Source organism: Homo sapiens, chromosome 3 (genome assembly GCF_000001405.40).
Source record: "Homo sapiens chromosome 3, GRCh38.p14 Primary Assembly".
In the NCBI taxonomy this organism is placed as follows: domain Eukaryota; kingdom Metazoa; phylum Chordata; class Mammalia; order Primates; family Hominidae; genus Homo; species Homo sapiens.
In genome coordinates, this window is record NC_000003.12 from 156213976 (window position 1) to 156228795 (window position 14820).

Consider the following 14820-nt stretch of genomic DNA (forward strand, 5'->3'; position numbering starts at 1 on the left):
TTGCCTACGTGATGAAGCCTCCTTAAAAATCCCTAAATGAAGTGGAGAGCTTCTGAGTTGGTAAACATATCCATGTGCCAGAAGGTAGTGTGCCCCAACTCCACGGGGACAGATACCCCTGTGCTTGGGACCCTTCTAGACCTTGCCCTATGTACCTCTTTCTCTGGCATTTTATTTGTATCCTTTAATAAACTGGTAAAGTAAGTAAATTTCTTTTTTAGTTTTATGAAATGTTACAGCGAATTATTGAATCTGAGGAGGGGGTTGTGGGAACCCCCAATTTGTACCCAACTTGGATGGAAGTGTGAGTAGTCTGGGGAACTGCTACTTATGATTGGCATCTGAAGTTGGGGGCAGTCTTGTGGGACTGAGCCCTTAATCTGGGGGTCTATGCTAATTGCAGGCACTTAGTATCATCTGGTTGGCATCCACAGAGAACTGGAGAACTGCCTGGTGTGGAAAACCCACACGTTCGGTATTAGAATTGTTGTGTGAGTAGAGAATACTGAGTGTTTTCTTTTGCCACCCAAGACAAAAATGGAAAGACTCATAAAAAATCAGTCCCCAAACTTCCTGTTATTGCTTTCCTTTTTGGAAGATGGAGAGATTTTGTCAGCTGAGAGCAGATAGTTACCTGACTGCAGTGATCTCAAGGTAGGGCATTCAGCTAAATGATTCCAAGGCCATCTACAGGCTGGAAAGGATCAGGAAACCACCCGACCGTATTCTTGAATGGTAACAGAATGAAATGATTTAACAAGTTTTCACAGCTCAATTGAAGCCAAAACTAATTTCTCAAAACTTCTGATCTAGTCATGTCTTCCCAGTGAGTGTAATAAAGGTTGAAACATTCATTCTTGTCACGAGGGGATAATGGGATTGATGTGTTTGCACGAAACACATCAGGCTGTCGCCCGCCACAAGCAGGATCTTCACACACTGGTCTTTCAGGGTGTACAGCCTTCCTTGGAAATGTCTATTCCTTATCCACCTCTAGTATTATTCTTTCTTTAAACCTATTACCTATGAGTTAATTGTTAAACAGATAATCATAATTATTATAAGAGTAACTAAATTGTAATTGTTCTCATTTCTGAGTGCCTACTTCATGACAGGCTAAGTAAGTTTTCTACATTATTTTATTTAATTTTTATAACAATTCTGAGAAGTAGGGACTATTAGCTCATTTGTTTGAGATGAGAAAAGAGAAGCTATGGAAGTTAGGTAACTTGCAGAATGTATTCAGATATTAATGGCAGAGGTGGGAGTCAAACAAAACCTACGCTCTTGAGCAAGGCATAAGTCATGGAGAGTTACCTGTGGCCCGCAAGCATCACTCAATTCAATTGACATGTAATGACCTCCTAGTATGTGTGCAGTATAAGAGACGTGAGATGGATAAATTTAGTTTCTTCTTGTAGGCCTTAAAATCTGTTGGGGAATTAAACCTATACATCCAGTTAATAGAACAAGATAAGTTTTATTTCGTCCTAAAGTAGAGGTCAGGCAGAGGTTATGAAAGTGCTGAGGTGGTGGAGGTAAATTTTGACTTGGGGGTTGGTGGTACATGAAGGCACTAGGGAAAGCTTAGGAGAGGTAGTGTCCTTTCACTTCCATCTTGAAAGATCAGCAAGCATTTGGCAGTTGGTGGAGACAGACAGGGAATTCCACATAGATGCAGCAGCTTGACTGAAGACCCTGAGGTGAGAAAATGCACAGCGTGTTCAGGGAACATCCACCACTGCAGTGGCATCACAGGCTACCTGGGGAGGAAGAAAGGGAAGGATCAGAGAGAGGCTGAACTGAGGTAAGAATGGCCTCCACTGCTGCCTACAGGATTCATATAGAATGGGTGGCCGTGGAAGATTTTTCGAGGAGAGAGATGACATAATTCCTTTCATTATGTGGGAGAGTAAAGCACTCAGGGTTTGTTAGCTGGTGCTCAGTGTGGTATTAGATTGATTTTTATGAAATTGCTGACATAGGACCATTTTCAAAATACAAAAATCACAATTTCATATGGTTCAACATAACACAGTTCAAGATTTTGCTTTGCTTCTGGAAAAGCCTTTGGATATAGTGGGTAGCTACAAATTTGGGGTCTCCTGGCCCTCGCAGATCCTCAGAAGCACTGTTGAGGTCTGCTGACTTTTATTATTTTAACTTAGGCAATACGTTAATGAAATAGAATCTTACTTATTTCAAGCTGGAATTTGATTAACTAAGGATGGTAACCTTAGCTACTTCATGCTGATCCAAGCCCTTGATTAGTTGTAGATGAAATCATTATTTCTAGTATTTATAGGGAGGAGGTAGATGGGAAATGAAGATTTAAAAGGTCTCTGATGGTAAGAACTACTGGCTGCTGCAGATTGCTGCTGAAAGCTGGCATGAACATAGGCATGCCATGTTTCCAGGCAACCTTGGGTGGTCCTGGGCTTGCAATTACATTCCGTCATTCTTCAAATGTTTTCTGAGTGCCTAAATGTTTTGTGAACAGTTCTAGGCACTGAAGAGATGGTTGGAAATAAGCTAGATAACTTGTTTATCTGGTCCTTAGGTTTTCCGCCCAAACTAGAATGAATAACATTTGACAAAACTGTTGTTAAGAAAGACTGTCTAGTACTAACCCTGTGCATGAATGAGGCAGAGTAGACTCTGGGGGAAGATAGGGTGGGATGGGGGCAAGAGGAACATTCAGTAGTCCCTACTTAGTGCCAGACACTGGGCTTTTAACTCATTTTCTCCTTTAAATTCCCCTACTTTTGGACAATTAGGTAGTTTTATCCCTGCTTGACAGATGAGGAAATTGACTCTCAAAGAAATTGAGAAAATTGCTGCCAGTTGCCCAGCATGAGGGTGGTGGAGCAGAGTTTAAGCCCACATCTGTTTGTCCAGCACCTGAGTTCTTTCCATCAGCATCCCCAGTATGAAGTGATTTTAGGTTTTACATGACTGACCTGGAGGAACAAATGCTTATTTGTTCAGAGGCTTATTTTCTTTTCAACTAGAGTTGAACCGTACAAGTGTAATCAGGTCCATTTGTTGACAATGGCAAGGCAGGCTGTAGAGATGAAATTAGAGTGTCAAGGCCAGGTGACTGATGTTTGCCAAAGGCATGAAAACAGCATTTTACACCCAAGGTAATGATGCCGCAGATTCCTACACGTCAAACAGACTCCACTGCTATGTTTAGAGAAAGTACAATAATATTGTTCAGAGTCAGCAAAGATAATGTGCATCTGGTTCCAGTTCTGATGAATCTGTAAAAATTGCAATCCAGATGTTGTGCTATTAATTTGGGTGACATGATTATTATTACTTTGGCCTCTCTTTTCCAAATATGTTAACAACAGCAACAACAACAAAAAAGTTAATATGATTTAAAGTTTCATGTCACATTATGTTTTGAGACATGCAATCAGGAAACTAGAGTGATATACGAAAAAAAATCATTTCCCTAGTTTTAAAAATGACTTTCTTAAGACCTGAGTAAAAAGAGGCTGTCCTGATGAGCTCATTCACTCTCAGAGATTTTTGTTCTTTTGAAGTCATTGCGTTTCCACTATGGTTTAGTATGAACAAAGAAAATCAGGAACTCTTTTCTTACTTGAGTTCCAGGGATGTAGAGACTATAGAGCTTATTTTCTTCTTGTCATTTTAAAAATGTAAAGTCTTGGAGCTGCTTTGGCATTTATTATTGATATAGAAAGAGTGCTCATTATTTAACATGCCTGTGCCTCCCTCCAGGGGATGGCAAATACCTGTTATGGTGTCTCTGGAAACAAGCTGGTCATAATGTCCCATTTACAACAGGGAGTTGTGTACCTCCAGTTACCTGGAACAGGTAACGCCAGTATCAGGAATTGAAAATCTCCAGTCTAGGGATTAAGATGGCAAATAGGAGGCAGGACTAGCTTGTAGCTCCCACTCTGATGGACTGAGTGATATGTGGAGACTCACATCATAAACTTGCTCCAAGAACTACCGCAGGAACATACCAGAAAAGCAGAGGGAATCCACAGACGCTCTGAAAGAACAGAATCACTGCTGCAGGCTCCCTGAAATGTGGAAAAACTGTGAGTCAGCTTGCTTTCTTCACAGGGAGGCTCGTGGTCTGGGGCAAGTTCTCAGCCCTGGTCACCAGCTGCCAGACTCGGTGCTGTTGTGGGGACATGGTGGGAATGAGACCGGCCTTTAGGACTGTGGGCTGTGTGAGAGCGGGGTGAGGCCAGTGACTGCTGGCTTTTCCCCACTTCCCTGGTGACCCGTATGACTCAGCAGAGGCAGCCATAATCCCCCTGCGAATATAACTCCACTGGACTGGGAACCACATTGCCATCCCCCACAGCAGCCACAGCAAGCCCTGCCAAAGGAGAGGCTGAGCCCAGACATGCCTATCCCAGCCCCTAACTGGTGGTCTTTCTCTACCTGCCCTGGCAGCTGAAGACAAAGGTTATAATCTCTTGGTAGCTCTATAGCCCTGCCCACTGCCTGAGAAACCTGAATACTTAACCAGTTGTCCCTAGGGCAAATTTGCATCATCCCTATAGGACTGCAGCTGATGTACTCTTAAAAGCGTCACCTCCTGTCTGGAGGCCAACGAAAACAAAACCAGCACACTAAACAAATACACAACCAAGGACCCTTACAGAGTCCACTTCACTTCCCTGCTACCTCCACTGAAGCAGGTGCTGGTATCCATGGCTGCAAGACCTGAAGACAGATCACATCACAGGACTCTTTGCAGACACTCCGCAGTACCAGCCTGGAGTCCCATAGCTCTGCAGGGTGGCTAGACCCAGAACAGCAAAAAAAAAAAAAAAAATAATAATAAAATAAAATAAAAATAAATAAATAAATAAATATAAAAAAAATAAAATAAAAATCACTGCAGTTTGGCTCTCAGGAAGCCTCATTCCTAGGGGAAGGGGGAGAACACCACATCAAGGGAGCACTCTGTGGGACAAAAGAACCTGAACAGCAGCCCTTGATCTCAGGTCTTCCCTCTTACAGTCTACCCAAATGAGAAGGAATCAGAAAAACAGTTCTGGTAATATGACAAAACAAGGATATTTACACCCTGAAGAGATCATACCAGCTCACCAGCAATGGATCCAAACCAAGAAAAAAATCTCTTAATTGCCAGAAAAAGGATTCAGAAGGTCAATTATTAGGCTAACCAAGGAGGCATCAGACAAAGGTGAAGTCCAACTTAAAAAAAATCAAAAACATGATACAGGGTATGAAATGAAACTTCTTCAGTGAAATAGAGAACATAAATAAAATAGAATCACAACTTCTGGAAATCAAGGACACATTCAGAGAAATGCAAAATGCCCTGGAAAGTCTCAGCAATAGAATCAAACAAGCAGAAGAAAGAACTTCAGAGCTTGAAGACTAGGTTTTTGAATTAACCTAATCCGTCAAAGACAAAGAAAAAAGAATTTAAAAAATGAACAAAACCTCCGAGAAATTTGGACTATGTTAAATGTCCAAACCTAAGAATAATTGGTGTTCCCGAGGAAGAAGAGGAATCTAAAAGTTTGGAAAACATATTTGAGGGAATAATTGAGGAAAACTTTCCAGCCTTGCTAGAGATCTAGACATGCAAATACAAGAAGCTCAAAGAACATGTGGGAAATTAATCACAAAAATGTCATCACCTGGGCACATAGTCCTCAGGTTATCTAAAGTCAAAAGCGAAGGAAGGAATCTTTTTATTATTATTATTATTATTATTATTATTATTATTATTATACTTTAAGTTCTAGGGTACATGTGAACAACGTGCAGGTTTGTTATATAGGTAAACCTGTGCCATGGTGGTTTGCTGTACCCATCAACTCGTCATTTACATTAGGTATTTCTCCTAATGCTATCCCTCCCCCAGCCCCTAACCCCCTGACAGGCCCCAGTGTGTGATGTTCCCAGCCCTGTGTCCATGTGTTCTCATTGTTTGACTCCCACCTGTGAGTGAGAACATGCGGTGTTTGCTTTTCTGTGCTTGTGATAGTTTGCTTGGAATGATGGTTTCCAGCTTCATCCATGTCCCTGCAAAGGACATGAACTCATCCTTTTTTATGGCTGCATAGTATTCTATGGTGTATATGTGCCACATTTTCTTTATCCAGTCTATAATTGTTGGACATTTGGGTTGGTTCCAAGTCTTTGCTATTGTGAATAGTGCCGTAATAAATATACGTGTGCATGTGTCCATATAGTAGCATGATTTATAATCATTTGGGTATATGCACAGTAATGGGATCACTGGGTCAAATGGTATTTCTAGTTCTAGATCCTTGAGGAATCGCCACACTGTCTTCCACAATGGTTGAACTAACTTACACTCCCACCAACAGTGTAAAAGCATTCCTATTTCTCCACATCCTCTCCAGCTTCTGTTGTTTCCTGACTTTTTAATGATTGCCATTCTAACTGGCATGAGATGGCATCTCATTGTGGTTTTGATTTGCATTTCTCTGATGACCAGTGATGATGAGCATTTTTTCGTGTGTCTGTTGGCTGCATAAATGTCTTCTTTTGAGAAGTGTCTGTTCATATCCTTTGCCCACTTTTTGATGGAGTTTTGATTTTTTCTTGTAAATTTGTTTAAGTTCTTTGTAGATTCTGGATATTAGCTCTTTGTCAGATGGGTATATTGCAAAGAGTTTCTCCCATTCTGTAGGTTGCGTGTTTACTCTGATGACAGTTTCTTTTGCTGTGCAGAAGCTCTTTAGTTTAATTAGATCCCATTTGTCTATTTTGGCTTTTATTGCCATTGCTTTTGATGTTTTAGTCATGAAGTCTTTGCCCATGCCTATGTCCTGAATGGTATTGCCTAGGTTTTCTTCTAGGGTTTTTATGGTGTGAGGTCTTACATTTAAGTCTTTAATCTGTCTTGACTTAATTTTTGTATAAGGTGTAAGGAAGGGATCCAGTTTCAGCTTTCTACATATGGATAGCCAGTTTCCCCAGCACCATTTATTAAATAGGGAATCCTTTCCCCATTGCTTGTTTTTGTCAGTTTTGTCAAAGATCAGATGGTTGTAGATGTGTGGTGTTATTTCTGTGGCCTCTGTTCTGTTCCATTGGTCTATATCTCTGTTTTGGTACCAGTACCATGCTGTTTTGGTTACTGTAGCCTTGTAGTATAGTTTGAAGTCAGGTAGCATGATACCTCCAGCTTTGTTCTTTTTGCTTAGGATTGTCTTGGCTATGTGGGCTCACTTTTGGTTCCATATGAACTTTAAAGTAGTTTTTTCCAATTTTGTGAAGAAAGTCAGTGGTAGCTTGATGGGGATAGCATTGAATCTAAATTAATAAATTACCTTAGGCAGTATGGCCATTTTCACGATATTGAAGGAAAGAATCTTAAGAGCTGTGAGGCAAAAGCATCAGGTAACCTATAAAGGAAAACCTATCAGATTAACAGATTTCTCAGCAGAAACCATAGAAGGGATTGGGGTCCTATCTTTAGCCCCCTTCATCAAAATAATTATCAGTCAAGAATTTTGTGGCCGGGCATGGTGGAGACTCACGCCTGTAATCCCAGCACTTTGAGGGCTGAGGCGGGTGGATCACCTGAGGTCAGGAGTTTGAGACCAGCCTGGTCAACATGGTGAAACCCTGTCTGTACTAAAAATACAAAAATTAGCCGGACATGGTGGTGGGCGCCTGTAATCACAGCTACTTGGGAGGCTGAGGTGGGAGAATTGCTTGAATCTGGGAGGCAGAGGTTGCAGTGAGCTGAGATCATGACATTACACTCCAGCCTGGGCGAAAAGAGCAAAACTCCATCCCCCCCCGCCAAAAAAAAAGTTTTGTGTCCAGCAAAACTACGCTTCATAAATGAAGGAAAGACACAATCTTTTCCAGACAAGCAAACACTGACAGAATTTTCCATTACCAAGCCAGCACTGTAAGAACTGCTAGACGGAGCACTAAATCTTGAGACAAATCCTCAAAATATACCAGAATAGCATCTCCTTAAAGCATAAATCTCACAGGACCTATATAACAATAACACAATTAAAAAACAAAACAAAACAAGGTATTCAGGCAACAAAAAGCATGATGAATAGAATAGTACCTCACATTTCAATATCAACATTGAATGTAAATGGCCTAAAATGCTCCGCTTAAAAGATACAGAATGGCAGAATGGATAAGAATTCACCAACCAATTCTGCTACCTTCAGTAGACTCACCTAACATATGAGGACTCACGTAAACTTAAGGTAAAGGGGGGCGGGAAGAAGATATTCCCTGCAAATGGACACTAAAAGTGAGCAGAAGTAGCTATTCTTCTACCAGACAAAACAAACTTTAAAGCAACATCAGTTAAAAAAGACAAAGAACACTATATAATGATAAAAGAACTAGTCCAACAAGAAAATATCACAATTCTAAATATACATGCATCTAACACTGGAGCTCCCAAATTTATAAAACAATTACTACTATACCTAAGAAATGAGCTAGACAGCAACACCATAATAGTGGGGGACTCTAACACTCCACTGACAGCACTAGACAGGTCATCAAGACAGAAAGTCAACAGAGAAACAATGGACTTAAACTATACCCTACAGCAAATTGACTCAACAGATATATTTATAGAACATTCTACCCAACAACTGTAGAATATACATTCTATTCATCAGCACATGGAACATTCTCCAAGATAGATAATATGATAGGCCACAAAACAAGTCTCAGCAAATTTAAGAAAATCTAAATTTCATCAAGTACTCTCTCAGACTACAGTGGAATAAAATTGGAAATCAACTCCAAAAGGAACCTTCAAAACCATGCAAATATATGGAAATTAAATAACCTGATCCTGAATGATTGTTGGGTCAACAATGAAATCAAGATGGGAATTAAAAAAGTCTTTGAACTGAATGATAATAGTGACAAAACCTATCAAAACCTCTGGGATATAGCAAAAGCAGTGCTAAGAGGAAAGTTCATAGCATTAAATGCCTACATCAACAAGTCTAAAAGAGCACAATTAGACAATCTGTGTCCGGAATTGGTGGGTTCTTGGTCTCACTGACTTCAAGAATGAAGCCACGGACCCTCACAGTGAGTGTTACAGTTCTTAAAGGCAGTGTGTCCGGAGTTTGTTCCTTCTGCTGTTCAGATGTGTTCAGAGTTTCTTCCTTCTGGTGGGTTTGTGGTCTCACTGGCTTCAGCAGTGAAGCTGCAGACCTTTGCGGTGAGTGTTACAGCTCATAAAGGCAGTGTGGACCCAAAGAGAGAGCAGCAGCAAGATTTATTGCAAAGAGTGAAAGAACAAAGCTTCCACAGTGTGGAAGGGGACCCAAGCAGGTTGCCATTGCTGGCTTGGGCAGCCTGGTTTTATTCTCTTATCTGGCCCTACCCACATCCTGCTGATTGGTCCATTTTACAGAGAGCCGATTAGTCTGTTTTACAGAGAGCTGATTGGTCCATTTTGACAGGGTGCTGATTGGTGCATTTACAATCCCTGAGCTAGACACAAAAGTGCTCCAAGTCCCCACTAGATTAGCTAGACACAGAGTACTCATTGGTGTATTTACAAACCTTGAGCTAGACACAGGGTGCTGATTGGTGCATTTACAAACCTTGAGCTAGATACAGAGTGCTGATTGGTGTATTTACAATCCCTTAGCTAGACATAAAGGTTCTCCAAGTTCCCACCAGATCAGCTAGACACAGAGCGCTGATTGGTGCATCCACAGACCCTGAGCTAGACACAGGGTGCTGATTGGTGTGTTTACAAACCTTGAGCTAGATACAGGGTGCTGATTGGTGTATTCACAATCCCCTAGCTAGACATAAAGGTTCTCCAAGTCCCCACCAGACTCAGGAGCCCAGCTGGCTTCACCCAGTGTATCCCGCACTGGGGCACAGGTGAAGCTGCCTGCCAGTCCTGCGCCATGTGCCCGCACTCCTCAGCCCTTGGGTGGTTGATGGGACCGGGCTCCGTGGAGCAGGGGGCAGCGCTCATCAGGGAGGCTCAGGCCGCGCAGGAGCCCACTGCAGTTGGTTGGGGGGGATGTGAGACTCAGGCATGGCGGGCTGCATGTCCTGAGCCCTGCCCCGTGGGGAGGCAGCTAAGGCCAGGTGAGAAATCAAGCTCAGTGCCGGTGGGCCAGCACTGCTGGGGGACCCGGCACACCCTCCACAGCTGCTGGCCTGGGTGCTAAGCCTCTCACTGCCTGGGGTCAGCGGGGCCAGCCAGCCGGCCGCTCTGAGTGCGGGCCCACTGAGCCCACGCCCACCCGGAACTCGTGCTGGCCCGCAAGCACCGCACGCAGCCCCGGTTTCCACCCGTGCCTCTCCCACCACACCTCCCTGCAAGCTGAGGGAGCCGGCTCCGGCCTTGGCCAGCCCAGAAAGAGGCTCCCACAGTGCAGCGGCGGGCTGAAGGGCTCTTCAAGCACGGCCAGAGTGGGCGCCAAGGCCGAGGAGGCGCCAAGAGCAAGCGAGGGCTGCGAGGGCTGCCAGCATGCTGTCACCTCTCAAATCTAAGTTCTTACCTCACAGAGCTGGAGAAACAAGGACAATTCAAACCCAAACCCAGCAGAAGAAAAGAAATAATGATAATCAGAGCAGAACTAAATGAAATTGAAACAAACAACAATGTAAATACAAAAGATAAATGAAACAGAAAGCTGATTCTTTGAAAAGATAAATAAAATTGATAGACCATTAGAGAGATTAACCGAGAAGAGAGAAGATCCAAATGAGCTCCATTAGAAATGAAATGGGGTATATTACAACTCATACCATATAAATACAAAACATTATTCAAGGCTGCTATGAACACCTTTACATGCATAAACTAGAAAACCTAGAGGAGATGGAGAAATTCCTGGAGAAATAACCTCCTGGATTAAATGAGGAAGATATAAAATCTCTGAACATAACAATAACACACAGTGAGATTGAAATGGTAATTTAACAATTGTCAACAAAAAAAAGTTCAGGACCAGACCGATTCACAGCTGAATTGTATCAGACATTCAAAGAAGAATTGGTACCAATCCTATTGACACTATTCCAAAAGATAGAGAAAGAGGAAATCCTCCCTAAATCATTCTAGGAAGCCAGAATCACCCTAATACCAAAACCAGGGAAAGACATAACAAAAAAAGAAAACTACAGACCAATATCCCTGATGAACACAGATGCAAAATCCTCAAAGAAAATGCTAGGGAACCAAGTCCAACAACATATCAAAAAGTTAATTTACCATGATCAAGTGGTTTCAAACCAGGGATGCAGGGATGGTTTAACATACACAAGTAAATAAATGTGAAACACCACACAAACAAAATTAAAAACAAAAATCACATGACCTTCTCAATAGATGCAGAAAAAGCATTTGACAAAAATCCAACATTGCTTTATGATTAAAATCCTCAGCAAAATCGGCATAGAAGGGACAAACGTTAAGGTAATAAAAGCCATCTATGACAAACCCACAGCCAATATTATACTGAACAGGGAAAATTTTAAAGCATTCCCCCTGAGAACTGGAACAAGACAAGGATGCCCACTTTCACCACTTCTACTCAACATAGTACTGGTAGTCCTAGCCAGAGCAATCAGACAAGAGAAAGAAATAAAGGGCATCCAAATTGGTAAAGAGGAGGTCAAACTGTCACTGTTTGCTGATGGTATGATTGTATACCTAGAAAAACCTAAAGACTCATCCAAAAAGCTCCTAGAACTGGTAAATGTATTCAGCAAAGTTTCAGAATACAAAATTAATGCACACAAATCAGTAGCTCTGCTGTATACCAACAGCGACCAAGCTGAGAATCAAATCAAGAACTCAACTCCTTTCACGATAGCTGCAAAAAATAATAATAATAAAATACATAGGAATATACCTAACCAAGGACTTGAAAGACGTCTACAAGGAAAATTACAAAACACTGCTGAAAGAAAACATAGATGACATACAAATGGAAACACATCCCATGCTCATGGATTCAATATTGTGAAAATGACCATACTGCCAAAAGCAATCTATAAATTCATTGCAATTCCCATCAAAACACCACCATCATTTCTCATAGAACTAGAAAAAAATCCTAAAATTCATATGGAACCAAAAAAGAGCCCACAGAGCCAAAGCAAGACTAAGCAAAAGGAACAAAACTAGAGGCATCACATTACCTGACTTCAAACTATACTGTAAGGCCACAGTCACCAAAACAGCATTATACTGGTATAAAAATTGGCACATAGACCAGTGGAACAGAATAGAGAACCCAGAAATTAAGCCAGATACAGTCAACTGATCTTGACAAAGCAAATAAAAACATAAAGTGGAGAAAGGATACCCTACTCAACAAACGGTGCTGGGATAATTGGCTAGCTACATGTAGAAGAATGAAACTAGATATCTATCTCTCACCTCATACAAAAATCAACTCAAGATGGATCAAAGACTTAAATTTAAGATCTGAAACCATAAAAATTCTAGAAGATAACATCAAAAAACCCTTCTAGACATTGGCTTAGACAAGACGTCATGACCAAGAACCCAAAAGCAAATGCACCAAAAACAAAGAGAAATAGATGGGACTTAATTAAACTAAAAAGCTCCTGCACAGCAAAAGAAATAATCAGCAGGGTTAACAGACAAAAATCTCAGAAATCACCGCTAAAGAACTTATTCATGTAACCAAGTACCACCTGTTCCCCAAAAACCTATTGAAATCAAGAAAAAGAAAAAAGAAAAGCTCATCTGCAAAGCTTGTGAACAACTTTCCATGTTTTGGCGGGGATCCTTTTATTCCAGTTTCAGGAAACACCCCACAGCCAAGCCCAGCACTCCTCCTCTCTCTTATGTAAGCGATAAGCACCATTAATAGTCCTGTCAGTCTTGATTAATTCTGTGTACAATGATCAAGAGAGTATTTTGACTTTGGGGCAAATCAAACCATGGTGGACTATGACACAGACATAAGGGATAAACATTTACTAAAAGTAAAAAACACACAGCCTGGAGCTTGTAAGGATTCCATAGAAATAAAAGCATATGAAGAATGAATTCCAACTATAGATTTTTTACAAAGCTACATGATGATTAAGTGCTTTTGGGTTATTCTATTCTATAATATTTAATGGTTTCTAAATCTAACTACTTCTTCGTCACAATGTTGTTTTTAAAAAGTTATCCATTAGGTCTTTGTGTGAACAAATGTAGGCCATTACTCCACTGATCAGTAACTAATGCAAGGAAAAAGTTCTTTTTTATACTTTTACAACGTGAACTCCTTTTGATAGTACTGAAACGACTGGCCATTTGCAAGAATGAAACTAATTTAAAAAGCAAAGACAAAGGACATTGTTCTCAAAGGTATTTAATAGGCCCTGAAAGTTTGACTTAGAAAAAAAAGTGTTTGAAATCACAATCAATGTTGCAATAAAGTGGGACGATTCCAAGCAGCTAAAAAAGACTTTCTCTCCGATTTCAGTGAGAATTGTCTTTTCTCATGATAGTCTGAATCTAGTGTGTGTGTACTATTTTTATATGCAAATTAGTATACGATTCTCTTGTTTGATTCAACAATAGGTGATGTAGGTAAGTCGACATTATTATATTTCAAGAAAGAAGGCAAATGAGACCCAGAGAAGTTAGGAAATTTGTTCCTGGTCATGCAGTTAGTAAACAGGGATGCTTAAACCTAAACCCCAGTCACTCACCAAATGATTCTCCTCTTCATGTAACAGGCTCAAGGCCCCCACTAGCAGGCACAGTGGTAAGTTCTCACCCTAAACTCCGGAAACGCCCTTTTAGGGCACCATCCCGGTTCAGAGCTGTTTAGGCAAACTGTGCTTAAGGAGGGACCTCCTCGTACACAGCTGTTCTGCTTAGACATGGATTTTCCTCCTCCAGCCCTTTCTGCCATGTCATCAATACAAGGTCAGAAAGAGACACTGAGTCAGCAATGAATATGGGAATTATCTGCACATTTAGCAGTGGAATCCTAGAGGCACGGGAAGAGAGAGCAGGTAAGTGGTAGGATCCAGTTTTAAACTTACCTTCTTGTTGCATACATTGAAAGTAAACATCAGAAACGTCTTCCACCTTAAAATTTTGCACAATAATTTATTGTACCAAATTGGTTCAATTCCATTCCTCTGTTCATTCATTCCATTCCACACATCTTTATTGAGCACCTCCCCTTGGCAGTAACTGTGTCGGTGGGAAGTCAGATGCTGTCCTTGCCCTCAGATAGTGCACAGTCTTCAGATGAAGGGGAGAGGAGAAAAGAAGCAAGTGCTGGTTAGGAGGTGGGATGAAAGCTTAGATTTTGTGATTCACAAAAAGCCATACACTTCTTGTCTGCAGCCCTACCGTGTGCTTTGAACATAGGAGCAGCAGTTGATGGTTTTGCCTCCATTTGACTGTTACAGATCCCAGCCCCTGTGTTGTTTCCTCAAGCATTTCTGGAAGTCCCTGAAATGCATCTCATGTGTGGTCGAAAGCAAGCCTGGTCAGCCTTCACACAGCGTCTGCTGTTTCTTCCTTCTCACTAGCCTGCCTCTTCGGGGTTCTATCATGTTCCACTAGAGACCGCTGCAGGTGTGCTAGAGCTTGGAGGTGGGAAGTGGGGAGGGCACCTCTCCTTCTCATGTTGCCTTCCACTGAAAGGCTCCAAAGGTTTACAGAGTCTTAAGTGAAATAGCTTGTTCAGGTTGAGTTCCAGGCTTTTCTTACCCTTGACCTAGGTTGGAGTCAATGGGGGATAGATCAGAGAAAAACCTCAGTGACAGCCACTATGTGATTCTCAGGATTGCTCTCCTCTT

The 14820-nt window shown here is 41.5% G+C and overlaps 1 protein-coding gene and 1 long non-coding RNA gene across 6 annotated transcripts in view; one reads left to right on the plus strand and one right to left on the minus strand.

The window, feature by feature from the left end:
- KCNAB1 (potassium voltage-gated channel subfamily A regulatory beta subunit 1) overlaps positions 1-14820 on the plus strand; it is a 420928-nt gene that overhangs the window by 95765 nt on the left and 310343 nt on the right. The gene's annotated exons all lie outside the window — the stretch shown is intronic.
- KCNAB1-AS2 (KCNAB1 antisense RNA 2) lies at positions 1585-13908 on the minus strand. Its single transcript, NR_046617.1, has 4 exons — positions 13714-13908; positions 4002-4061; positions 2961-3064; positions 1585-1763 (listed from the first exon to the last, which is right to left on the minus strand). It is a non-coding gene; the product is annotated as a KCNAB1 antisense RNA 2 (long non-coding RNA).